Here is a 27,438-nt window from a genome sequence, read left to right on the forward strand (position 1 = left end):
ATAGAACTCATAAACAAGTTCAGCAAGATTGCAGGATACAAGATCAATATACACAAATTGATTGCATTTCTAAACAATAGCAAGAAATAATTTGAAATTAAGAAAATTTAATTTATAAATTGATAAAAAATTACAATTTATAAAATTATGGCATCAAAATGAAGAAAGTACTTAGGAATGAATTTAACCAAGGAGGAACAAGATTTGTACACTGGAAATTACACAATATCTTTGAAAGAGTTAAAGAACACCTAAATAAATAAAAATACATACCATGTTCATGGGTGGGACGGCTTAATCTTGTTAAGATGGCCATAGTTTCCAAATTAATCTGTAGATTTAATGCAATTCTTATGAAAATCCCAACAGAGCTTTTTCCCCCCAGAAACTGACATACTAATTCTAAAATTTACATGGAAATGCAAGGAGCCCAGAATAGCCAAAGCAGTCTTGAAAAGAAGAACAAAGTTGGAGCACTCACACTTTCTCATTTCAAAACTTACTATGAAACCCTAGTAAGAAAGACTGTTTGTTACTGGCATAGGATAGACATATATCAATGGCATAGAATTGAAAGCCAGAAGTAAACCCATCCATTTATGGGTAATTGATTTTCAACAAAGGAACCAAGGCATTTTAACAGGAAAAGAATAATTTTATCAACAAATCGTGCTGGGACTACTGGGTATCCACTTGCAAAAGAATAAAGTTGTATTCCTACCTCATATCATACAAAAATTAACTCAAAAAAGATCACAGACCTAAAGTTAAGAGCTAAAACTGTTCAACTCTTAGAAGAAAACATAGATGTGACTCTTTGTAACCTTGGATTAAGCAATGGTTTCTTAGATAATGACAATGAAAGTATAAGCAACCAAAGAAAAAGCAGATATATAGAACTTCATTACAATAAAAAATTTTGTGCTTCACTATCAAGAAAGGAAAAATGCAACCCATAGAACAGGGGAAGAATATTTTCAAATCATATATCTGAAAAAGGACTTGTATTCAGAACATTTAAAGGGCTCTTACAACTCAACAATAAAATTTTTTAAATGGGTAAAGGATTTGAACACGCATTTCTCTGAAAAAGATATAGAAATGGCCAATAAGCACATGAAAAGATGCTCAACATCATTAGTCATTAGAGTTAGGCACATCAAAATCACAATGAGATATCACTTCACACCCACCAGGATGGCTGTAATAAAAAAAATAATGAATGTTGACAAGGATATGGAAAATTGGAACCCTCATACATTGCTAGTGGGAATGTAAAACGGTGCAGCTGCTTTGTAAAACAGTTTGACAGTTCCTTAACAAGTTAAACATAGAGTTACCATATGACCTAGCAACTCTGCTCCTATGTATACACCCAAGAAAAGTGAAAACATATGTCCACACAAAAACTTGTACACCAGTGTTCACAGCAGCATTATTCATATAAGCAAAAGGTGAAAACAACCTAAATGTTCAGCAGCTGATGAATGGATAAAGAAAATGTGGGATATCCATACAATGTTATTCAACCATTGTTCCACGGTGGTCAGGTTGATGCAAAGCTACCCCTAAAGTCCTAGGAAGATGAGAGGCTGAAGATAAAATGTGACTTATCCAAGTTTCTTAGAAAGAAGCATTTAATGGGGTCTTACAAACAGAAGCCATAGCCTTGGGCGGCCACAAGATAAGATGGTGGATCCCCACACCATTTCCCCCAAGACCCATGGTGTATATGCCATAGGCAAGTAATGTATAGACCAGGAAAAGGTAAGAATGATATGTGAATCTGCCTAAGGGTATAATTTATAATAAAGGTTGGTTTTACCTAAGGGCAGGAATTATGGTAACATTACATAAAGTATAAATCTTAGAGGCATTTCCAGGTGTTAATCAGAAGTCAACATGGTAGCTGGGCGCGGTGTCTCACGCCTGTAATCCCAACACTTCAGTAGGCTGAGGTGGGCGGATCAGGGGGTCAAGAGATCAAGACCATCCTGGCCAAAATGGTGAAACCCCCGTCTCTACTAAAACTACAAACAATTAGCGGGACATGGTGGTGGGCACCTGTAATCCCAGCTACTAGGGAGGCTGAGGCAGGAGAATCGCTTGAACCCAGGAGGTGGAGCTTGCAGTGAGCCGAGATTGCGCCACTGCATTCCAGCCTCTACAGAGCGAGACTCCGCTCTAAAAAAGAAAAGAAAAAAAGAAAGGAGAGGAAAGGAAAGAAGGAAAGGGAGGGGAGGGGAGGGGAGGGGAGGGGAGGGGAAGGGAAGGGGAGGGAAGGGAGGGGAGGGAAGGGGAAGGGAGGGGAGTCAACATGGCAGATTAGATCCGAGATGGAGTCGCTTTGTCCTCCACAGCCATAAAAAGGAATAAAGTTCTACATCATAGATGAACCTTAAAAACATTGTGCCAGCTATGGTGGCGGGCGCCTGTAGTCCCAGCTGCTGGGGAAGCTGAGGCAGGAGAATCGCTTGAATCTGTGAGGCAGAGGTTGCAGTGAGCCGAGATCGCGCCACTGCACTCCCGCCAGGGCGACAGAGCGAGACTCCACCTCAAAAAAAAAAAAAAATTGTATAAAATGAAAAAAGCCAGTCATAAGAGGCCACACATTATATAATTCCATTTATATGAAATATCCAGAATAGGTAAATCCATAGAAATAGAAAGTAAATTAGTTGTTGCTACGGGAAAAGGGTTTTGGGTGATAAAAAAAAGTTCTGGGGTTAGATAGTGGTGATGGTACATAATTTTTGGAATATACTGAAAATCACTGAATTGTACACTTTAAAATGGTGGCTTCTAGATCTGTGGATTATCTCAATTTAAAAAGTAAAAGCAGGCTGGGTGCGGTGGCTCACGCCTGTAATCCCAGCACTTTGGGAGACCGAGGTGGGCAGATTTTGAGGTCAGGTATTTGAGACCAGCCTGGCCAACATGGTGAAACCCCATCCCTACTAAAAATACAAAAATTAGCCGGGCGTGGTGGTGGGCACCTGTAATTCCAGCCACTCGGGAGGCTGAGGCATGAGAATCGCTTGAACCCAGGAGGCAGAGGTTGCAGTGAGCCAAGATCGCACCACTGCACTCCAGCCTGGGCAACAGAGTGAGACTCCATCTCAAAGAAAAAAAAAATTAAAGAACTACTAAAAATAATAAGAAAAAAATCATACTACCCAACAGTAAAATGGGCAAAGGTCATGCACAAATATATTTCAGAAGAGAAAAAGTAAACGGAGAACAAACTTGTGGCACGATGATAATCTCGTTAGCAAGCAGATAACTGTAAATTAATACTGCAATGCTATTCCATCCTGACAGGTCTCTTGTGAACTGCTGGGAAGAATGTAAAATGATACAGACACTTGGGAAACAACTTGGAGTTCCAGCAATTCGTTTCTGAGCTACATGCCCTTGAGTTGCTCTTGCTTTTGCCAAAAGGGATCTGGAAGAATGTTCACAGCAGTACTCAGAACACACAAAAACTAGAAACAAATGAAATGCCCATCAATAGGATAAATAAATCATGGTGTGATCACACAATGGAATATTCTAAAACAGTGAAAATCGATGCCTGTCAGCAATATGCAAAAGCAAGGACGAATCTTAGAAACAACACTGAATCAAAAAAGTCTCAGAAGAGCCAGCATGTAATATTTTATAAATCTCAAAATCAAGCAAAATTCTACCTCATATTATAAAACTGTACATTTAAAAAGCAAGGGATAATAAACAGAAAATTTAGACTTGTGTAACCCCCAGGGTTGGGGATAAGGCAGGAGAAATGGGTGCAGGAAAGGACGCTCAGCTGGTGTTAGTGACTCTGGTGACACTTTTGTTCTCAGGCTGGGTGGTGGGTTCATGGTGTTCATTTTATTATTATTGCTCATGTTATCATATGCATTATTTTGTATATATTAAATGTTACATTTTTTTTAATTTAAAGATAGTTTTTATAAAAACAAGCAATGGGCAAAGAGGATTTTTTTTTAAAAAACCTTAGTGTTTATAGAGGAAAATGGAATCTTTCAAAGTCTTCAACAGACAACAGGCCAAGTGGGGGTGCCTCATGTCTGTAAAATCCCAACATTTTGGGAGGCCAGGCAAGAGGATCACTTGAGTCCAGAAGTTCGAGACCAGCCTGGGCAACATAGCAAGACACTGGACTCTATAAAAAATATAAAATATAAAATATAAAAAGAAACAATGGAACCATCTGTGTGTCTTTCAGCTGAACTGTGTGCCACGAATCAGACTGCTGATTTATCTAGAGGGCCTGGTGTGATTCATGTGAAAATGCCATTCAGCCACTCAACAAACCTTCCCTAAGAAAGGTGCATGCTGGGCCCATCGGTCCTCTGGAGGAAGCCAAGATGGGTGGATATAGCTCTGCCTGCTGGAGCTTCTTAGGTCATAGAGGACATTGTTATACTAAGAAAATATTCAAGGGAGACAAAAATGATCTTTTTGGGATGCAATCATGTCTTATACCCCTTGCTTACTAGCATTGAAGGACTTCCTCTTAGCCCGGGAATGAAACTCAGCTGCGACGCATGCAAGGACTTCCTTTATCTGGCCCTGACACCCCTACAGCCCTCAGTGCCTTGAGTCTCTCACCCTTGGTTCTCCATGTGACACTCATACTGAAGTTCTTTGGGCCCCTGGAATGTCCCTGAGCTTTCTTCCCTCTGTGCTTTTGCACACTCAGTTCCCTCAGTCTGGAATGTCTATCACCATCTGCCCTACACATGGCCGAGCCCCACTGACCTATTCTGTTTTTTTTTTTTTTCAAAGAAGCATTCCATGAACCCTGGACCAAAATAAGTCCCCTGGCTGCACACATCTACAGCGCCCCAACCCCTGTCCCCTCCAGGGTTACTGTGTCAGACTCATTCACTATGGTAACCCCAGCAGCGCCCCAGAGCATAGCAGAGGTGGAATCAGTATTTGCTGGATTTAATTTTATGTATGTCTTAAGAGTTCTATGCAAACTATAGAAGAGGAAGAGATAACTTGTATTTGGAGGGAAGAGGTGGGCTTGAGGAGGAAGTGGCATGGCACGAGGCTGGGTCTATGACATGCATCACTGTCAATCACTGGGGTGCTTTTCCTGTATTTGAGGTTGTCCTCAAGCTGTTGGCTGTGTCTCCCTGTGGTTGCAGCAGCAGTGCTGGGTAGAAATGATCTCTTCCTCCACCTAGTCCCAGCTTATTCCTTCCCATGAGGCTGGAGCGTGTGCTGTGTCCTTTCCTGGTTCTAGCATGGGCCATTCCCAAAGCTGCCTTCCAGTCTGGAAGAAGCTCTGCATCAACTCGAATGGGCTGTTCACCACCATGTGTTCAAATTGCAGTGCTCTGTTGACTCCAGCTCCAGGGTTACAGCTTCCTTTGCTATCCCAGGCAGGACTGCCAAATCCACAATGCTGAGCCCCAGGGGATAAAAGCCACATGGTGCAGAAATCTGTGTGGCCAGTGAAGAAAGTGGGCCTGTGTGTGTGGAATATGAACAAACTAGCTCAGAATCTGCAGAACTTAGAGGAAGCTCAGTTGTGGCAGTGCCTTGGTCATAGGTTGAGACTGTGAGATGGAGATTAACAGGCAAGGCCTGCTCTTGGGATCAACACTTGGTCCCCTTCCTTGAGGCCCTGGGGGAGGTCAGGCAGCCCCATCCTGGCACCCACAGACCACCTCTGCTGAATGGGCCTCCCTGTCAACATCCCTAGACCTTCTACCTGCTTCCTTGAGAGCATAACCTTCTTCCCCAAGTGTGTTATTTTTATTTTTGTAATCTCCTTAAATGTTATACAAAATTAGTTTACACACAAAGAAAAACAAAAAAAAAATTTTAAATGATGCAATTTCAAGAAGTGTGGGATGGCTAGAAACCCGAGGAGATGTCTCCAGGAAGACAATGGGGTCTCCAAATGGGCCACCTGTACCCTTGACAGAACCAGGGACACAGAGGGGGAGCCTGGCCTTGGGAGGAAGGTGACGGATGCTTTGGGTCAGTCAGAAGAGTTGGCGATCCGTGGGAGCTCAGCACAGAACTGCTGCTCTGGTTACAGGCCAGGCGAGTGGGAAGCAACAGAACAACACCCAGCTTCTTTCCTGAGTGCCACTGACAGAGGAGGGTACCCTCCACCAGGGAGAATGCCTCATGCCAGGCAGCAGGAAGGCAGGGCTGCGACTGCTAGGAGAGCCCATCAACCTTCATGCCAACAAGGCCCCAAGGCTTCCAGCTAGATCATCCCAAACCCGACTTCTTAGATGTATTTTGAGTTTTGAAACCTGAACGTTAGAAAAGGGATTGAAAATGGAATAGGATGTTTTATGACATTAAAAATGTAAACATTCATTAAAGCATAATGCACATAAATAAAAGTGCACAGATCATAAATGTGCATCACAAAGTGAATACAGCCATGCAGCCGCCACCTGGGCCAAGAAACAGAATCTCTGCAGACCCCCAGAAGCCTGATCTCTCATCCCCCCTTCCAATCTTTAAAGTTTTAGAACATGTCTGTTGTAAACAATAATAATAAAAAAAGTAAAACAGTTCCTACACACGGGCCACCTGTCCATTCATGCACCCAGGTACCACCAAGACGCACATTCTCTCAGCAGTCCCTCAAGTCTTTGAGACCATTTCATCCCAGATGCAGCGCCGTGCTTAAGAGGCATTACATCCGAGCATTAGAGAGTGCCAGAGCTGCGCGGTACTCGGAGAGCCTCCTGTTCAACTCCCTCATGTTTCAAATGCAGAAACTATTATGGAGATTAGTATTGATTTGATGATGATGAGGCTTCTCGTGCATCTGTTTCAAGACTGGCCCCCACCACCGCCGCTGAAAGTAAGCAAAGTCTATGAGAGAAAACTCCGAGTTTTAATACACTTTGTTATTCACCACTTCTCTTTTCTTAATTCCTTGTTAGCTGTGGAGCTGGGGTCTGTTATGGTGTCTTTTAGTCATTCCAGGCAGAGCAAGTCACAGCAAAGGTTGTGGCCTGATAACTGTCTGTGTTGTTGGGTTAAGAATCCCATGTGGGTCATGGATTATCTGCTGGAAACTTCAGAATCTCCTTTCAGTGAGATCCTTGTAAATCCATCCTGCTCTGTGGCTGACAGGGGTTAGTGAGGCATTTTTTCTTGTCTCTGGTACTCCATGCAAATGCTCACTGCTCTCTTGATTTTGTAACAGGAGCTCCAAGCTCCTGTCTGGCTCAAGTTTCCAGGGATGATCCCTGAAGCAGGAGCCCATTCTCTAACTGCAGGTGGGCATCCTCACCCTGCACAGATGGGGGTGTCATGTGGAGATCGTGGGTATCCCCTCCTGGGCGCACTCCATCTCTTGAAGCCTCATGCCAAAACCCCTCCACTCCTGGGTACCATCTGTTTGCCTTCTATTTTTATTCCTTTGGTTTTTGTCTTCCTAATTGTCCCAACCTGACTAGCTCAAGGATGCTAGAACTACATTCTCACCATTGCCAGAAGAATAGACAAACAGAAGCCTGAGTTTTACCTAAAGGTAGAATGACAGTCTCTACTTGTATATTTGTCTCTTTTTCTAGGATGGGTTAGACAGAGCCCCATTTGCTTCTGTGCCCCTGGCTCCTGATGGGCATGGGTCCTGACACTCATTCATTGGGAGCTCTAAAGCTGTCGGCTTGGAGTTTGCCAGGTGCCATCATCTGACTCCTTGACAGGCTGCTGCAGGCTGCCTGGGTGCAGAGCAGTGCCCCTGGCCTTCCGCAGGATGCAGCTGTATCATTGCTGCAGGATTCTCTTCCACACAACATATGGGCAGAGAACAAGCACAGAGAACAATGAAAATAACTCCTTACATCTATTTGCACACTTCTTTCTAGTTTACAAAGTATGTTCACATTCGTTATCTCCTTTGAGTTTATGTTTCCTCTGTCACTTTGTCAGGTTGGAAAGGCTATCATTATCCCTTGGTACAGAGGAAGACACTGAGGTTCAGAGGTGAGATGCTTTGCCCAAAGCCCACAGCTAATAGGAGTGAACCCAGAATTGGATCAAGCTTTCTCTTGATTCCAATTCCGATGCTCTTCTTCCTTTCCCAGTGGGAAACCCACATTCCCTTAGGTCAGATCAGCCTCTCCCTTGGTGTTTAAGCCCAAATACTCTCATTTCCTCCTTCTCCAAGACAGGAAATCCTAGTGGGAGGTGTCTGGGTCATGGGGGTGAACCCCTCATGAATGGCTTTCTGTCATTCTGAAAGAAGTGAGTGAGTTTTGATCTCGTGAGACTGGGTTAGTTATCACAGGAATGGATTCGTTCTCACAAGAGTGTGTTGTTATAAAACCAGGAGGCCCCTTGGTTTTTCCTCTTTGCATTTATCATTTCTCCTTTGACCTTCTGCCATGTTGTGACACAGCATGAAAGCCCTCACCAGACACTGAGCAGATGCTGGTGCCCTGCTTCTTGAACTTTTCAGCCTGCAGAACCGTGAGCTAAATAAACCTCTTCTTTTTATAAATTACCCAGTCTCAGGTACTCTGTCATGGCAACAGAAAATGGACAAAGACAGTAGGAAACAGGGCTATTCAGGGTCAAATTTGCCTCCAAACACTCTCTTCTCAGATCTACCTCATGCTAGGTCCATCTGGATGCCTTTCTCAGGGTTCCCTTCTGAGCAGCAGCAATACTTACAAGGCTACCTCTTAGGGCAGAATAGGGGATGGAGGCACCCAGATCATCTCGAAGTAGGTAATGAGGAATTGTGGCTGAGCTCCGTGAGCACACACCAATGCTGGGAGGATGCCACATGTGCCAACCTGGGAAAAAGCTGATGATGCTCAGGCTCAAAGAGGTTAAGTGACGTGTCCAAACTCACACAGGTAGCTTGTGGCATGGCCAGGATTCAAACCCGAGAGTGGCTGGATCTGAAATTCCACTCTACAGGCTATAGGCAGGAGTGCCAGGAGGTGAGGTGCCCAGCCCCAAAGGAACCAGGAATCAGGGCTCCAGGCCTGAGAAGAAGTGTCTTCTCTGAAGAAAGGGCATGCATTTGGTCTCCTCTCCTTTTGTTTGTGGTCATCTTAAATGAGATTTCCTTCCCCCTTGGCCTCACCACCCACTTTCTTACACACTGGCCTCCTGTGTGGGAAGGTGGAGCTAGCATTAGATCTAGAGGCTGGAGCCTGGATCCTGGTTCTGGTTCAGCCCAGCTGGTTCAGCCCAGCTCCGGGGAAGTCATTTAACTTATCTGAAGTCTGGTTTCCTCACCTGAAAACCAGGGGGTTGAGCAGGTGATCCCCTGCTGAGATGTTCTCACCTGCAGCATTCCAGGACTCTGACATTTCCGTGATCCACAACCCTCTCCTCTTCTCATACCCTCCACCTGCCTGCCTCTGCCACCCTTGTGGGGGTACAGATGACCTGGCACAAGGCACTGTCACTATCAGCCAAGGCCGGCTAAGGAAGACAATGCCAGCCAGCTAGTGCCGAGACATCCCATTCTGAGGAATGCTGGCACAGTGAGGTGCTCTGTAGAATGCAGCTATTTTCTTCTTCCTAAAATGATCCCCAGTAGCTGTGCCTTGGGCTGCCAGAAGTGCTCTGCAGGAGATAACTTGGTCCTATATGCTCTTCACTCTTGTTTTGCATGACTTTAAGCAGTAAGTGCCCCCCGACACTCCTTTTCTTCAATGTTCCCCACTAGAAACTCCCTGATATAGTTTGCATATTTGTCCCCTCCAAATCTCATGTTGAAATGTAATTCCCAATGTTGGAGGTGGGGCCTTGTGGGAGGTGTTTGGATCATGGGGGTGGCTCATGAGGAGGCCCTCATGAATGGCTTGGGCCATCCCCTTGGTGATAAGTAAGTCCTTGTTCGAGTTCACAAGAGATTTGACCATTTGGAAGTGTGTGGCAACTCCCGCCACTCTCCCACTCTGGTGCTTGCTCCTGCTTTTGCCCTGGGAAGTGCTTGCTCTTCCTTTGCCTTCTGCCATGATTGGAAGCTTCCTGAGGCCTCCCCAGAAGCCAGGCAGATGCCAGCACCATGCTTCCTGTAAAGCCTGCAGAACTGTGAGCCAATTAAACCTCTTTTCTTTATAAATTACCCAGTCTTAGGTATTTCTTTAGAGCAATGCGAGAACGGCCTAATACACCCCTCCACCCACCCAAAGGAGCCCTGCAGATGTGATGGAAAGGCATGGCCCTGACACCTTCTCCTTAGTCCTAAGTCACCAGCCAGAATCTCAGTGTTGGAGGTCACTTCCTCCAACCTCGCTCCCATGCAAGAAGAGTCTCTCCGGATGCCCACCTGGCTTCTCCATGGAGCCTTCTGGAGACACTGGCCTCGTGCCAGAGTGCCTGGAATTGTTGCGACCTGTCTTGGCATTGTGACCCCGTCTGCCTTCCCACAATTCTCAACACGAGCACCCACTCAGCCTTCTGCAGTGATGCAGGAAGTGTCAGCTCTCTTCTGCAGGATGGCCTAGAAGCTTATGAAGACAGCCGATGTGTGCCTTGGGCCACTGCATGGTCAACGTCTACAGTTTCCTGTTACAGCTCAGATGATGAGGTTTCCACAGCTACCTTCGGGACATGATCCAGATTCCCACGTCCACCTCTAGGAGTGCCCAGAAGACCTGGATGTGTTATACTGAGAACAGAGGACAGCGGGGGCCACCCTCCCTGCATGTAGACGCTGTGCTCCACTGGGTGAATGGAGCTGACTACTGCACCAGCAGCCAAGTTACACACCAGTTCATGCTGAATTTGTGGCTGTCTAGAATTTCCAACTTTTCTCCATTTTGTTCATATGCAATTAATCATTTGAGCCTAAATGAGACACTTTACCTTTTAAAAGTTCACCCTTTCCGTTTCAGCATCATCTAAATTTTTAGTTTTTCTGCCTAGCTTTGTGACATTTTGAAGTAACAAGTCATATAGGACAACCCCCAGGACAGAGCTCTAATCCAAATTTTACATTACACACACTCTTAGTTGACTCTGAAGCGCTGGAAATTAGGTATTATTTCTCAACCACATCTTAATAGCTCTGAATGTAATAACATCTATTCCACATCTCAGAAGGTTTTTAGAAAATCTTTTTCGCCCCAGGTTTTCTAAAGGGGAGGAGCTGCTTGGCTGGCAGGCCACACATCGGGCAAGTTACTTTTCCTTCATTTCTACATCTATAAAATGAAAATGAGAATACTTACTTTGCAGGGTTGTTTTTTGTGAGCATTAGATAAAACAATTCGTTTCCATTTCCACGAGTAAGTTCCTTTTACACCTCCCTGGGGACTGTGGCCTGCATGCGAGCATACCCTGAACATTTCTTTCAGTTTACATTTGAGACACAACATACGTATTATAAAAATTCATGTTCATTCTGCAAAAATGATAAAATACGCTGAAATCAACCAAAATCACCCTAGTAATTAGATGTGACCACTGTAAACACTTTGAAACATCCTTCCATTCCTTTTTAATGGATAATTGCACATACACTCACACACACAATCTTTAAAAATCATTTGTATAATCTGAACAGTTTGTATCCTGTTTTTGCCCTTAACATATTCATAAGCATATTTGCATGTCAATAAGTACATTTATAAAATATTTAATGTTTTCATTGTGGTAAAATATGCATAACATATTTCATGCATAACATAACACCATTTTAACCATTCTAAAGCACACAGCTCAATGGCATTAGGTGCATTCTCATTGTTGTGAAACCATCACCATCATCTCCAGAACTTTTGCATCTTCCCAAACTGAAACTCTGTGCCCATTAAACACTAACTCCCCACTCCCCACCCCTTTCTCCAGCCCCTGGCTGCCACCATTCTACTGTCTATGAATTTGACTACTCTGGGTGCCTCATACGAGTGGAATCATAAAGTATTGTCCTTTGTAACTGACTTATTTCACTTAGTATAATGTCCTCGCAGTTCATCGATGTCACAGCATGTGTCAGAATTGCATTCCTTCTTAATACTGAATCACATTCATTGTATGTATAGACCACATTTGGTTTACCCATTCATCCATCAATGGACACTTGGGTTGTTTTCACCTTTTAGCTGTTGTGAATAATGCTGCTGTAAACACGGGTGTGCAAATATCTGTTTAAGTCCCTGCTTTCAGTGTTTATCAATATAGACCCAGAAGTGAAACTGCTGGATAATTGGACAATTCTATCTTCAATTTTTTGAGGAACAACAATACCATTTTCCATGCTGGCTGTACAATTTTACATTTCCTCCAGCAATGCACAAGGGATCTGATTTCTCCACACTTGTTATTTTCTGTTGTTGCTGGGGTTTTTTGTTTTGTTTTGTTTTGTTTTGTTTTGATGGAGTTTTGCTCTTGTTGCCCAGGCTGGAGTGCAGTGGCACAATCTGTACTCACTGCAACCTCCGCCTCCCAGGTTCAAGGGTCCTCATGCCTCAGCCTCCCAAGTAGCTGGGATTATAGGAGCGCGCCCTCATGCCTGCCTAATTTTTGTGTTTTTGGTAGAGACAGCGTTTCACCATGTTGGCCAGGCTATTCTCGACCTCCTGACTCAAGTGATTCACTTGCCTCGGCCTCCCAAAGTTCTGGGATTACGGGTGTGAGCCACTGCACCTGGCCTGTTGTTTTCTTTTTAATGGTAGCCATCCTCATGGTGTGAAGTGGTATCTCATGGTTTTTATTTACATTTCCCTAATGATTAGTGGTGTTAAGCATCTTATCATGTGCTTATTGGCCATCTGTATATCCTCTTTAAGGAAATGTCTATTCACCTCCTTTGCCCATTTTTTTCATTGGGTTTTTGTTTGCTGTTGTTATTGTTGCATTATAGAGCTTCTTTGTATATGCTGGATATTAATCTCTTATCAGATATATGATTTGCATATATTTTCTCCCATTCTGTGAGTGTCCTTTGATATACAATTTGTTAATTTTAGTGAAATCCAATTTATCTTTTCATCATTGTTGCCTGTTCTTTCGATGTCATATCCAATAAATCTTTGCCAGAAAACTTTTTGCCTGGTTTCCTATAAGAGTTTTATAGTTTAGTTGTTACATTTAGATTTTTGAGTTAACTTTTTAAAAACTATGGTGTTAGGTAAGGGTCCAGCTTCATTCTTTTGCATGTGGACATCCAGTTTTCCCAGCATTTGTTGAAAAGACTGTCTTTGCCCCACTGAATGGTCTTGGCCCCTTTGTTGAAAATCATCTCACCATATATGCAAGGGTTTATTTCTGGCCCCCTATTCTCTTCCATTGGTCTATATGTCTATCTTCATGTCAGTACCACAGCTTTGATGACTAGCTATGTAGCAAGTTTGAAATCAGGAAGAATGAGACCCTCAGCTTTGTTCTGGGCCCCTTTAAATTCCATATGAATTTTAGGATGGATATTTCTATTTCTGCAGAAAACATGGTTGGGATTGTGATATTGTACTGAGTCTGTCTTGGGTAGTATTAATCTTAACAATACGAAGTCTTTCAATCTATGAACAGAAAATGTCTTTCCGTTTATTTATGTCTTTTTTAAGTTCCTTCAGCAATATCCTGTAGTTTTCAGTGTACATGTCTTTCATCTCTTTGTTCAAGTTTATTCCTAAATATTTTATTCTTTATAATGCTATTGTAAATGAAATTATTTTAACTTCCTTTTGGGATTGTTCATTGTTAGTGTTTAGAAATGCAACTAGTTTTTGTGTGCTGATTTTGTATCCTGTAACTTTGCTGAATTCAACATAATTTTAATTGCTTTTTAGGTTTTATTCTTATAAATTGAAATGGGGACCCCAGCCAGAGAACACTCTGGACCACACAATCTTTTGTCCTCAACCTCCATATCCCAGTCTCCCCATAGTCCAAAGATTCCCTTACCCTGCACTGCCAGAGGGTTAAAGGGTCAGTTCTAGGCAGCTCCTTTGTCAGGATTGCTGGCCTCCAAAGCCCCACCTCGCTAATTCTGTTTCTTCATTGTCAAATAAGGAGGTCCATCTCTGTCCTCTCAGGTCTTCTGCAGCACTGGATACCATGTGTTAGCTCACGTACCTGAGTTCAGTTTTCATGAGAGTTCATGATGACTGAGGTATGGTTAATCATTTGTTAAATAGTTAGATTTTTATTCCAGAGAAACACCTACTCTACAGAGCGCATATGAAACAGGTTTGCATTGCATGAATTATTTTCCCATTTGAAACCCAGAATCTCACTCAAATGGCTTTCCAACCCATATTGTACTGAAGTATCCTGTTCGTTCCATTAACTATTCACAGAGTCAACTGGGGAACCGTTGTTATTAATTTCAATGGAAGGCTAAAATGCAGTTCATTTTCTGTAATTGCAGGCCCACGGTCTAAAGAGCCAGCAAAAGCTTTTAATCTGAGGCTTTTTTAGAGGAGTATGATCATTATTACATTGAACATCTTTTGAAGGTGCGTAATTATCAAAACCTCAATAACATTGACATTCAAAGAGCCCTATACCATAGAAGCGAAACTCACATGCAGGGAGCAGGACAAATTGCGGTCTGAGTTACCCAGGGATAGAGAAATGGCCACGGGGAAGGTCGACAATGTTTGCACATCTTGCTTTGCTATTTTATTCCAACTGTGAGGCTCTTCATGCCACATGGGAAGGGGACAGACGCACTCCCTTCATATATGTAAGTTGTTTGTGGCCTCAGATATCCAACCCTTCCTGCTGCAGCTTCCCTGACCTCCTGCACCGGGAGCCACCGGCTGCAAACAGGCTGCAAACACCGGGGAGCTGCAAGCGAGGGCGGCCAGTCCATCGAGCCAGCAGAGGGCGCTGAAACGCGGCCCAGTGAACTAGGGACGTCCAGGGCCAGCGCTGACCACTGGTGGTGCCCGAGCTCCCAGGGCTCTGATGCCCGGCTGCTCCAGTCCGCAGAGAAAACTAACCGGACACTCCACTGCTACTTTCTTCCCGATGCTCATGAGTCTCACCTTTGGTGAGGGCTGTCACCCTTTAGCCACAGTTCTGTGAGAGAACCACCTCCTTTTCCCCCATAGGAGGAAGGACAGCGGCAGAGGAGGCCAGGGGAGTGGCTCACGCAGTGACAAGTGACTGCAAGGCCACCCCCACCACACTTCCCACAGGTGGCACCACATGTGCACTTCTGCTCAAAACTGAAGCGGGGTGACAGCACACTGCTTGGCATGGGGACAGAGACAAAGGAGGCAGGCACCGGGGACAGGGTGTCAGCATGTATGTGCATATATATATATGTGTATGTGTGTGTGTATATATATACACACACACACACATATATACACACCCTGTATATATATATATATACACACACCCTGTATATATATATATATATATACACACCCTGTATATATATATACACACACACACATATATATACACACACACATACATATACATACACACACAGACATACATACATATACACATACATACATACATATGTATGTGTATATATATTTTTAGTTAAAATCCAGATCGATGATGCTGGCACCATCACGTACTCCAAATGTCAAAGCCACACGTTATGAGGTTGGTGAGATAGGCCACCCACCCTCACATACTCATTCATCTTCAGCATGTTGCCACTTACTATATTTTGTGTGCACCCGGATAAGTGGATTTAAGGATTTCATTATTCAGTGTTAACTAAATTAATTTGGAAAAAATGTATATGTAGCTTTAAAAATATGGTTGCAAAGAATCTGTAGGTTGGCAACATTAGTAACGGGAGCACAAGTGAACTCAAAGGAAACAGCAGAGCTCTCGCATCTCTTACTCCTAGGAAGGCCCCTTTATCAGCCAGTCCGCAGGAGAAGCAATGATGAGCTCAGCAGATCTGACAGTCTTAGGCCAACCAGAATTTTTTTTAGAAAAGCAAACAAATCTGTCATTTCAAGCAAAAGATGCTGCCACAATAAGTGAGAATGTAATTGTTCCTTTTTTGCCCCCTGGGAGTGGTGGTGAAATAAAAGAAAGAAAATGGGAAATCCTATCTATAAGACCAAGTAAAAATAATCATGCATCGGGCATAGCTCTTACCATGAAGTGGCAGCAGACACATCAGAACCGTGGCAGATCACAGACTCTTTCCAAGTGGCAGGGATTGTCCAGGGAGCGGCTGAGTCAGCAGCAGGGCCTGTCCCACCTGGGCACTATTTCCTTCTTTCCTTTACTGCCACCTCATGTCAGATGGTGACAAGAGGATCATGACAAACAAGAGTCAAAGGTCAGATCAGAAGTCAGAGTCAAAGGCAGGGTCAGAGTGCAGATTTCTGACTCCCTGACCAGTGCTCACAAAGGAATCAAGCCCGCATCTAGTGTGGGCCCTGGCGTGGCCTTGGTGTTAAACACAGGAGAGAGCATAGCATGGTGGGCTCTAAACCCAGAAATCAGACTCCCCCGACAACTTCCAGCTCTGAGACCCAACCTCTCTGTGCCTGTCCTCTCTGACTGTAGAACTGGGAAAGTTAATGAAACTTGCTTTGGAAGCTTGTCGTGAGAAATGAATGGATAAACACATGTGAACGATGCTTGGTGCATACTCAACTTTTAACAAATGTTAGCTGTTGTAATCTTATTTTACCACTGAAGCTGAAGAAACTTTTTTCAGGTTGAGATACTGCATTCCTGGAGTCCTTCAGATCTTTTACCAAATTCCAATATCAAGTTCTCAACTTCCACAGTCTCTGAATCCTGAAGTACACTTGAGAATTTCTGCCAAGATATGCACCTTCAGAGCCAAGAGCAGCAATTAAGAGACCAGTGAAGTTCTCCTGTTTAGACACTACAACGGAAAATTTGAAAGCAAATATCTCAGACAACAAGGATGGCTGAAATACAGTACAAACCAAGAATGCTAATCATTTTCAAAGTCAAAAAGTAAATTGGGACACCGATTTAGCACAGCTTGCAACCTTGCAAAATTCCTGCTCCACAGAACTGTAACTGCTGGCCTCTCCAAAGGTCGGGCAGAATGCACTTTATTTACATTTCATCCAAGCTTGCTACTTTACAATGTGGACTTCCCAAAGGGCAGGGCTGTCTTACTTATTTCTGTGTTTGTTGAATGAATGTTGAACATGGCAGTCTACAGCCATACCACCCTGAACGTGCTCAATCTTGTCTGAACGTTGAACGTGGCAGAGTGCTCCTCATGGGGAAAGAAAATGCGAGAAGAGGTGGGACGCAATTATTTCCTTGTTTTCAGGATGGGCAGTGTGATCAGGATACTAATGTGAAATGTAATGATGCCGAGTCCTTTTGCAGTGGGCAGGGAAGGGTCACTAGGGGTGCCGGTGACTGGTGTGTATTTTTCCACTTGCCAGTTATGTGCAAATGAGTAAGTCATGAAATCTCAGTGTTTTTCATTTATCCAATGGGAGCAATCTATTTGAAACATACCTCACAAGTCTATTATGAGGATCAAATGAAATGTTTGTAAAGAACGCACAAAAGTGCAGAAGTGAAATGGTGTAGTGAGTGCACGGGTGTTAGACACACGCATGGTGTTGTTAGTCATCTGCCACCCGCACTTCTTGAACATGTAAAGATAAAAGAATCAAATCTGCCTAGAAATTATGCCAACATAGGTAAAGGAAAATAAATGACATATTTCTTATACAGGCTCACTCTATCCATTTCAAACCGCAGGGGCCTGGCTAACAACAGCTTTTTTTTCTCATTTCCAAACTTTTGCACTCATTTGTTTCTGCTGTTCTATTTCCATTATGAAAACCTTCAAACATTCCCTTACTCCCGTTTTCTATTCTTTGTTTCCTGGATGGTTTGAAAGCAGACCTCAGACATCATGTCGTTTCATCCACAGGTACTTGCACATTTTGCCAAACTTTTTGTAAGAGCAGCCGAGAACAACTCTGTGGCCTCGGTGTCCAGTCCTTAGCCCTTTGCCATTGGACTTCCCAGCTCTACCCTACCATGGAACCTATTCTCTGAAAAGTCACCAAGGATGTAAACCCAGAGACTATTTCTCAATCCTCACCCTCCCAATTTCTCTGCAGCTTCAGACACTGCTGAGTCAAAGCCAGCAGGCATTGCATGAACACCACGTGCAGGTGCTGTCAGGTGTGTGGGTGGCTGAACACCCAGGCCCTGGAGGAGCTCTCAGGTGCTGAGGGGCACAGACAGGACAAGTGGCAGCCAGCATGTGCCTCTAGGGAAGTGCAAGAACAGCGAGTGGCAGGGGGGCTGCAGGTGCCAGGCAGCCTTGATGCCGCTGGCATTGGGCTGGGCTTAGAAGGATAAGCAGGGCTTGATGGCTGGGGTCAGGTTAGAGAATCAGCAGGACAAGGCATTCCTGGAAAAGCGGCACAGTGTGAGCAGGAGCTGGCTCTTCGGAAAGCTCAGGGTGATGCCTGGGGAATGTGCATCACTTGTGTGATTAAGGCGCGGGAGAGAACTTGCTGACTGTGTCATATTTACGAAAACACACACCATGTTGAGAGTAAACAAAAGTTTGAGTTCAGAGGAACCTCTAAGAGTAGATTTTTTCCCCCTGCAGTCTAAAGGGAGCTGTTTTTGTTTGTTTGTTTGTTTGTTTTCTTGAGATGCAGTCTTGCTCTGTTGCCCAGGCTGGAGTGCAGTGGCGGTATCTTGGCTCACTGCAAGCTCCGCCTCCCGGGTTCATGCCATTCTCCTGCCTCAGCTTCCCTAGTAGCTGGGACTACAGTTGTCCGCCACCATGCCCGGCTAATTTTTTGTATTTTTAGTAGAGACAGGGTTTCACCGTGTTAGCCAGGATGGTCTCGATCTCCTGACATGATTCGCCCGCCTCGGCCTCCTAAAGTGCTGGGATTACAGGCATGAGCCACCATGCCCAGCCAGAGGGGAGCTGTTTTAATAATTCATTTGTAGTGTAATTCTTGGTCATTTCCAGGGATGAGTAATTCTAGCCAAAATCTGTCTATAATATCTACAACTACCACCTATTTAGCACAATGTGTCAGCCACGTTACATGCATGATTTCTAGAACTTACAGCAATCAAGCAAGGTAGGTATTAACCTCAGGCTGCCTGGCTCTACCCACTGTGCCACAGCACTGGCCTCCCTCTCGATCTGGATCATGTGTGCACCAACATACTTAGTGTTTCTCTGTTACAGGACAGAGGAAAAAAGGAGTGGAAGTCAGCCAGCAGGCTGTGCCCCCAGAGCCCATCACAATGGCACGGCCTTCCTAGAATGATCACTATTGAGACAAAAATATCCCATAGTCATGAAGCCTTTCACACATGCACACACGTCAAAACCTAACATGCCACCGAGAACCTGGATTCAGCCTCTGTTATGTCTCCTCAGGCCTTCCCCGCACACCTCTCTCACTTGGTTCATTTCCATCCTGTGTTCTCCATTTACCTGGCTTTGTTTCCCCATTGCATTTATCAGTTTAAGGGTGAATTCAACAAGAACTCCCTTCTTTAGATTGCCTGAAAGCTGACCAAGAACGGTTAAGTTAGAGACATCTATTCCCCAGACTCTAAAAGATGAGAAGCAACAACGACTTGTCCAATGTCAAGGTTGTAAGGGTGGCGGCAGCTATTACAAATAAGGTTTTTTTGAGACGGGACGAGGTGATTCCAACTGTAATCTTAGCACTTTGGGAGGCTGAAGTGGGGGGATCACTTGTGCCCAGGAGTTCAAGACCAGCCAAGGCAACAGAGGGAGACCCCCATCTCTGCAAAAAATAAAAAAATTGCCAGGCATGGTGGTATGCATCTGTAGTCCCAGCTACTTGGGAGGCTGAGGCGGGAGAATCATTGAGGCCAAGAGGTGGAGGCTGCAATGAGCAGTGACTGAGCCACAGCACTCCAGCCTGGTGGGCAACAGAGTGAGACCCTGAAGTCATGTTATTTCTTGATTATGTCCCTGTGTATCTCTGTGTAAGCACAGAGATAGCAACTACTCCGTCCTAAAAACGGATGAATTCTGAGCCTCTAGAGCAGTGCCTGGCACATAGTAGATGCTAAGAGAACATTGGCCAAGTACAATGAAAAGATGAATCAGTAAGTGTTTTGTGTCTTGGGCCTGCCTAATATTCATTTAAATATGAAAAGTAACAAATGAAGAGACATCCCACCTGCCTGGCCTCCTTGTTTCTACACTCTAGCTAGGAAGAGGGACAGGGACAAATTATTACTAAAAAGGAATCACTTACAATTAGACATGCCCAACGGAGGCGATGCCTGGAATGCAGCAGGGAGGTCCCTGTCACGGGAAGCCTTCAAGCAGGAGCTAGATGACCATATCACAGCGGGGACCTGTATACCAGAAAAATGGACAAGAGCTTCCCTTTCTAAGGTTCCATGACTTGGGATCAGCAGGGGGAAAAAGTAGCTCTAGACTGGGGACCTGGATGACACAAGGACATCATATCCTTTGGAATGACTTACATATGACAGGTGACAAGGACTGCCTTTCCTCAAACATTTACTAAGTATCCACAGAGGGAGTTTTGTTGCTGTGAGCACCCCCCATCCTCCACAGGTGCCCATCTATCTCAGCACAGGCCAGGACTCCAGGAGCAGGAGTTTAGCCCACAGCCGCCAAGAGACCAGGCAAGGATCCCAGACTCCAACTCTTTAGGACTGAGCCACGCAGGAAGGAACAGGCACAGAGGGGTGAATCTACAAAGGGCTCTGGGGTATTGCTTCCCTGGTGGGAGAGGCTAGCAGTCAGGAGAATGGGACTAAACACATCCCATGAACTAAGACATTCTCAGGTCATTTCTAGAGGAGGTGAGTGAAAGGAGACCTTTCAATTAAACCTAGGTAAAGTAAAGAAAAACTTCATTTTTTTGAGACAGGGTCTCACTTTGTTGCCCAGGCGGGAGTGCTGTGGCTCAGTCACTGCTCATTGCAGCCTCCACCTCTTGGGATCAATGATCCTCCCGCCTCAGCCTCCCGAGTAGCTGGGACTACAGGTGCACACCATCACGCCTGGCAAATTTTTTATTTTTTGCAGAGATGGGGTCTCCCTCTGTTGCCTCGGCTGGTCTTGGACTCTTGAGCACAAGTGATCCCCCCACTTCAGCCTCCCAAAGTGCTAAGATTACAGTTGGAGTCACCTCGTCCCATCTCAAAAAAAACCTTATTTTTAATAGCTGCCGCCACCCTTACAACCTTGACATTGGACAAGTCGTTGTTGCTTCTCATCTTTTAGAGTCTGGGGAATAGATGTCTCTAACTTAACCGTTCTTGGTCAGCTTTCAGGCAATCTAAAGAAGGGAGTTCTTGTTGAATTCACCCTTAAACTGAAAACTTTTGAAGAAATAAAGCAAATGCTGATCCAAGTTTTTGAAATAGCCCATCTTGAAAGTGTTATTTGCAGGTGAGTGAGTGAATAGAGCTCAAATGGAAATCTCTAAGTGCTTCTCACTCAGCCATGGAGCGAAGCCACCTTCTCCTGATGGGAGGCATGCTCTCTGCCACCTGCGGGGATGGTGTGAGTCCTCCAAGTGCTAGTCTTTTTTTTTTTTTTTTTTGAGGCGGAGTCTCACTGTCACCCAGGCTGGAGTGCAGTGGTGCGATCTCGGCTCACTGCAAGCTCTGCCTCCCAAGTTCATGCCATTCTCCTACCTCAGCCTCCCGAGTAGCTGGGACTACAGGCGCCCGCCACCATGCCCGGCTAATTTTTTGTATTTTTCTTTTTCAGTAGAGACGGGGTTTCACTGTGTTAGCCAGGATGGTCTCCATTTCCTGACCTTGTGATCTGCCCACCTCAGCTTCCCGAAGTGCTGGGATTACAGGCATGAGCCACCGCGCCCGGCCTAGTCTTTTATTCTTGTAGGTGATTAAAGTTTTAGCATTTCTCACTTAGGCACTTTATAGCTATTAGGCACTGTGCTTACATGTACAACTTCACTTCTAAAGAGCTTCTGTGTTGCCATAGAAATTAATTAGTAGTATATTTACACCATAAAATGGCAAAAGAGCTTTCTAACAAGGACCTTAGGGAGCTGAAATCTTTCCCTCAGCAAGAAGACAAGACAGACTTAAGAGAAAAACCTCAACTCATGAATTCCTAGCCTGTTACCAGGGCAGCAGTTTACCATGTTGGTGTGTCATCTATATGGTTTTGTTGATCACCCAAGGTGGACAAATGAAAGAAAATCTGCATTGTAAAAGATGAAATTAGGTGCTGTGAGGAAGTGACCCAGAGCCTCTCACTATGTGTTGTGCACAGCAGGTGCTGGATAAACTGTTTAAACAATTCCATGGAAAAGCAACACAGCCATCACTCGAATGAGCCTGGGTATTTTATAGTGCTTAAGGAAACTTGGAAACAGTATATTTTAGCATGCACTCGAAACATCTCACTTTCCATTTTTCAATGTTGATTAAAGATACTTATTGCTTATATAAAGTGCCAAGTTAACCTCACCTCTCTTTAAGCTTTCAAATTCCAAATTAGTTAAGTCTGAATTAACAGGGCATTAATGTACTGTAACATGGGTGTCAGGCATGATGAAATGGGTGAAGTGCCCACAGAAGCTGAAATTCAGGTTAACTTCAGATTTAATTTTAACCATCCATGTATCTGATTACAGCTTCAAACATGTGAGGAATCATAAAGCAGCAGCCCACTTTCATTTATAAAAGAATGGGTATCAAGTTCTGAAGGTACAGCAACAGAATGAACAGACCTCAGGGTCTTCTAGTGAGAAAAGAGCCACAGCTAGGACAGAGAGGGAGGATTCAGCTGTTTGAGAACTGGTCACTGTGCACAGTATCTTGAGAAAACGAAACCCTCTAAATCTGCCTTCCAAAATTTCCTATGAAAACATGTCTCTGGATTTACAATGCAAGTTGCATTTGCTCTAGAAAAGTTGGTGATAGTGACCTTTGCTGAACTGCCCTTCCCCCAACCCCTCCCATAAAAAGGCAAATTGCTTCAGTGATTTCCAGACTGCTTGGAAACGGGTAATATAATGGTGAAAATGTTGTTGCGTCCCAAGCTTTTATAAAGTCTTTCCTTATATCTGGATTGCAACTTCAACTTTCAGATAGTATGGGTCAGTGTGCTGCCATTAATCCCACTCTGGCCTTCTGTTGCCCACATGTCCTTTGTGGGATGTTACTGGAATGTTAGGAACTATCATAAACTGTGCTTGCATCAGCCTTTCAGTATTTTACATAGCTCAGAAATGAAATCTAACCAAACCCCAACAGTATATAACAATTACAATAACACTAACTGGACAGGAGAATGAGGAGGAGCCACAACACTTGCCACTAAGTCAGACCTCAGGGTGGTTGGAGTCACGTGGTCTCAGGTCCTTGTATTGTGCAGAGGGGACAGAGCTATTGTTCACGTTGAAACTTTATGTTAAATATGCACGAAGAAAAATTCAAGGGTAACTGCAAAGTGAACAGAAACAGAGCTACAATTCGGTAGAAGAAAACATGAAGCACAGAGAGGCAGAGGAAATTAATATAGGGTGGAAAGAAAACATATAATAATCATCACAACATACATGGACAACCCTTGGCAAAATAACAAATTCCAAAAGTAACAGAAAAGAATCTGCTTATATGCTATTCATACACTTGTTCACATTATAATGATGAACTTTGGTTTATCACATCATTACAGCTGAAATGAGGTCACAAATTGGGAGAAGATATTTATACCTCACATCATCCACGAAGTATTAACATCCAGAATAAAGAATGTCTACACATGAAAAAGAGAAACACAAATAGCCCTTTAGAAAATTGTCCAACAGGTTAGTCACCAAAGAAGGGACCTGAAAGACAAGTAAATATGTGAGAAGTTCCTCGACTTCACCAGTAAATGGGGAGATGGGAATTGAAGTCACAGTGGGATGCCCTTTTCACCCTCTTCGGTTTGAGAACACCAAATGTTGGCAAGAATGTGGATCAACAAAACTTACCCAATTACTAGTGGAAATGTAACATTAGTGCAACCTCTTGGGAAATTAATTACCTCGTAAAGATGCACCTACTCTAAATGCAGGAATGCAACTCCTAGAGCAGTGGTTTTCAACTATGGCTGCATGTAACCCCCCTGAGGAACACACAAAACCAAACAAAATTGATGTCCAAGCCCTAGCCCAGACCAACTAAAACAGCAAAGCTCCCCAAAAGATTCTTGTGTGCAGCCAGGATTAAATGAGAATCACTGCCCTGCAGAAACTCTCCACATGCACATGAATACTTGTTTATGGGTGCTCCCACCAGCACTGTTAATGATGAGAAGAAAAAAATAACCTAAATGTCAAGTAACTAAAATATGGATAGAAAATTGTCATAATCATTGACTAGCAAGAAAAATTTGAGCTACATAAACATGCATGAATCTTGCAGCAAAAGTAGTTGCAGAACACCACATATGCACATCATTTACAGATTTAAAACCATACACACAATATTATATTTGAATGATGTATAAATACGTAGTATAACTATGAAGAAACAATGGGAAGGCCAGAGGGTAGACACAAATGGGGAAGGAAGTCAAATGGCAGCGGCCCTGCTTATATTTAAGCTGGGTGGTGGGTACACAAGTGTTCACTGTATTATTTCTGACTTTTGTGTCAGAAAAATTATTATGAATTAAAAATAGCTAAAGAATGCAAAATGGAGACAACTCTTTTGGGAAACTTTACTATGAATAGCAGAGTCAAGAGAGGGTTATTTAGAGACAAGGTCTTGCTCTGTTGTCCAGGCTGGAGTGCAGTGGCGCAATTGCGGCTCACTACAGCCTTGACTTCCCAGGTTCAAGCGAGCCTCTCACCTTAGCCTCCCAAAGTGCTGGGATTACAGGCATGAGTCACTCTGCCTGGCTGAGTTTGTTTAAAATATGAAATATGCCCCTGATATTTTTTCTTTTTTTGAGATGGAGTTTTCACCCTGTCACCCAGGATGGAGTGCAGTAGTGCAATCTCGGTTCACCGCAACTTCCACCTCTCAGGTTCATGCAAGTCTCGTGCCTCAGCCTCCTGAGTAGCTGGGCTTACAGGCACCCGCCAGCACACTCAGTTAATCTTTGTATTTTTAGTAGAGACGAGGTTTCACCATGTTGGACGGGCTGGTCTCAAATTCCTGACCTCAAGTCATCCGCCTGCCTCGGCCTCCCAAAGTGGCTGGGATTATAGGCATGAACCACCGCACCTGGACTACTGCCCCTGATACTCTTAACCAAGGATTTCTACCTGCCTTCTACCCACAAGGTGCTCCCTAAGCAGCACTAGAGGCCTCAATTTTCCTGACCAGCTCAAAGATAAACGGACAGAATAACTCCCACTGCTCAAGCATGGGCTGCACACACTATTGTAGAGAAACCGGATAAGTAGTTGAGGCCAACTTCAGCAGCCATAAAGCACACAGACAGCAGGTATCCTTGATATGAGGACAACAACATTTTACCTTGGGGATATCGCTCCAAAAACCCATTTGCCAGTCATAATAAGAAAAAACAGCAAATTCCAATAGAAAGCAACTTGCAATATACCTGACCAGCATCAGCATTCTCAGCACCCTCAAGAGCAAGGAGTCTGAGAAAATGGCACAGCCAAGAGGAGAATAAGAAAACATGACGACTAAACGTACTGTAGACTCCCTGAACAGAAAAAGAAATTAAGCCTCGATTCTATCTTGGCAATATCTTGAGCTCTTCAGAAGTGACAGAATCTCTGATATTTATTGTCTAGTTTTAAAACACTGCCACAGATGGGGTAATCAAGCATCTACCTGGCAAAGTTTTCTTCTTCCTAGCATATAGCTATGACCATAAATGTGTAACTTACTGAAATCTTTAAAAGGAGCCAGAAAAAGCTTGCCCAGAGAGATTGGTAAAGATTTCCTAAAAGAGTGGTGTCACTTGAGCTAAGTCAGCCCCTGCAGACGCAGAGAGCAGGGGATGTATGCGGGCTGGGGTGGTTTATATAGGAAGCAAGAAAGGATGGGAAATAAGGCCACAGGGGCAGGTTGGGGGCCAGACCACAAAAAGCCTTTTGTGCTATACCAAGGCTTTTGATTTATCCTGCAGACAACATGGAACAAATGGTTTTTTTTGTTTTTTGTTCGTTTTTTTTTTTGAGACGGAGTCTTGCTCTGTCACCCAGGCTGGAGTGCAGTGGTGCTATCTCAGCTCACTGCAAGCTCCACCTCCCGGATTCACAACATTCTCCTGCCTCAGCCTCCCGAGTTAGCTGGGACTACAGGCGCCCGCCACCACACCCGGCTAATTTTTTTGTATTTTTAGTAGTGTGTTAGCCAGGATGGTCTTGATCTCCTGACCTCGTGATCTGCCTGCCTCGGCCTCCCAAAGTGCTGGGATTACAGGCGTTAGCCACTGCGCCCAGCCAAATGAAGATTTTTAAACAGGGCAAGGATATGATTAGAGTTGGGGTTCAGAAGTTACTCTCAAGGCTTAAGAGTTTGGATTGAAAGATGAAGAGATAGGAAGTAGGCAAATGCTTGGGAAAGCACAGATTTCAGTTTTGGAGGTGCTGAGATCTGGGTGTCTGTCTCAGGCTGTGGACTGTGGGAGCTGTAGACTTAGGTGTCAGTGGTGCTCAAAGTTGCAAGGTTAAAGATGGTACTTAAAACTCTAACTAGGTAGCAAGAGATCGAGGCCAGAAGAAATGCATACACAAAGGCCTACGGAGATTCACCATTAGGAAGGAAAGTGGGGAGTGGAGTTGAGAGTGAGACACATGGAGCGTCACTTAAGCCCTCACTCCAGATATGGGAACAACGTGAACCAGCAGAGAAGAAAAAGCTTTACAGTTGGAGGAAATACTGTAAGTGTGTGCTCTGAGGAGGCTGCTGGAGCAAGGGAGGGTAAATGGCACCATGGAGCCATCTGGACAATCCAATTAGGAGTCTGACCACAGAGGCCTTGGTTTGAACTTAACTTACCAGAAAACTAGGAGACAACTTTCTTTCTTTCAGTTACAAATTTTTTTTTTCCTAGTAACCATATTAGAAAAGAAAAAGAGGCCAGGCCTGGTAGCTCACCTCTGTAATCCCAGTGCCTTGGGAGGCTGAGGCAGGTGGATCACCTGAGGCCAGCAGTTCGAGACCAGCCTGGCCCACATGGCAAAACTGTCTCTACTGAAAATATAAAAATTAGCCAGGCCTGGTGGTGGGCACCTGTAGTTCCAGCTACTCAGAAGGCTGAGGTAGGAGAATTTCTCAAACCACGGAGGCAGAGGTTGCAGTGAGCCAAGATCGTGCCACTGCACTCCAGCCTGGGTGACAGACCGAGACTCCATCTCAAAAAAAAAAAGGAAAAAGAAAAAGAAACTGTGGGGTGAGAATAAGGTGGGTTTGTGATCCTGAGGTTTCATGCTCGGTGCTCGGTATATTATAAGGACAGTGGAGCCAGCAACAAAAATACAGATCACAGACTAAGTCAACAGCTGCTGTTCAAGAAAAGAGACAACGTCACTA

At 44.2% G+C, this 27,438-nt stretch overlaps 4 annotated features.

Moving 5' to 3' along the window:
• Positions 6,982–7,151: an enhancer, noted in NCBI's record as "experimental_32809 CRE fragment used in MPRA reporter constructs". NCBI's record gives its function as "activates a minimal promoter by MPRAs in K562 erythroleukemia cells, with activity observed for the non-introgressed 13:28099678 variant allele {active_cell/tissue: K562}" and the evidence as "EXISTENCE:reporter gene assay evidence [ECO:0000049][PMID:34662402]".
• Positions 14,533–15,033: an enhancer, noted in NCBI's record as "H3K4me1 hESC enhancer chr13:28107144-28107644 (GRCh37/hg19 assembly coordinates)". NCBI's record gives its function as "activates a minimal SCP1, AML or CMV promoter by ChIP-STARR-seq in primed H9 embryonic stem cells {active_cell/tissue: H9 hESC(primed)}" and the evidence as "EXISTENCE:reporter gene assay evidence [ECO:0000049][PMID:30033119]".
• Positions 15,034–15,534: an enhancer, noted in NCBI's record as "H3K4me1 hESC enhancer chr13:28107645-28108145 (GRCh37/hg19 assembly coordinates)". NCBI's record gives its function as "activates a minimal SCP1, AML or CMV promoter by ChIP-STARR-seq in primed H9 embryonic stem cells {active_cell/tissue: H9 hESC(primed)}" and the evidence as "EXISTENCE:reporter gene assay evidence [ECO:0000049][PMID:30033119]".
• Positions 17,097–17,266: an enhancer, noted in NCBI's record as "experimental_32810 CRE fragment used in MPRA reporter constructs". NCBI's record gives its function as "activates a minimal promoter by MPRAs in K562 erythroleukemia cells, with activity observed for both the introgressed and non-introgressed 13:28109793 variant alleles {active_cell/tissue: K562}" and the evidence as "EXISTENCE:reporter gene assay evidence [ECO:0000049][PMID:34662402]".

The sequence above is a fragment of the Homo sapiens genome, chromosome 13, assembly GCF_000001405.40.
Source record: "Homo sapiens chromosome 13, GRCh38.p14 Primary Assembly".
Lineage (NCBI taxonomy): Eukaryota > Metazoa > Chordata > Mammalia > Primates > Hominidae > Homo > Homo sapiens.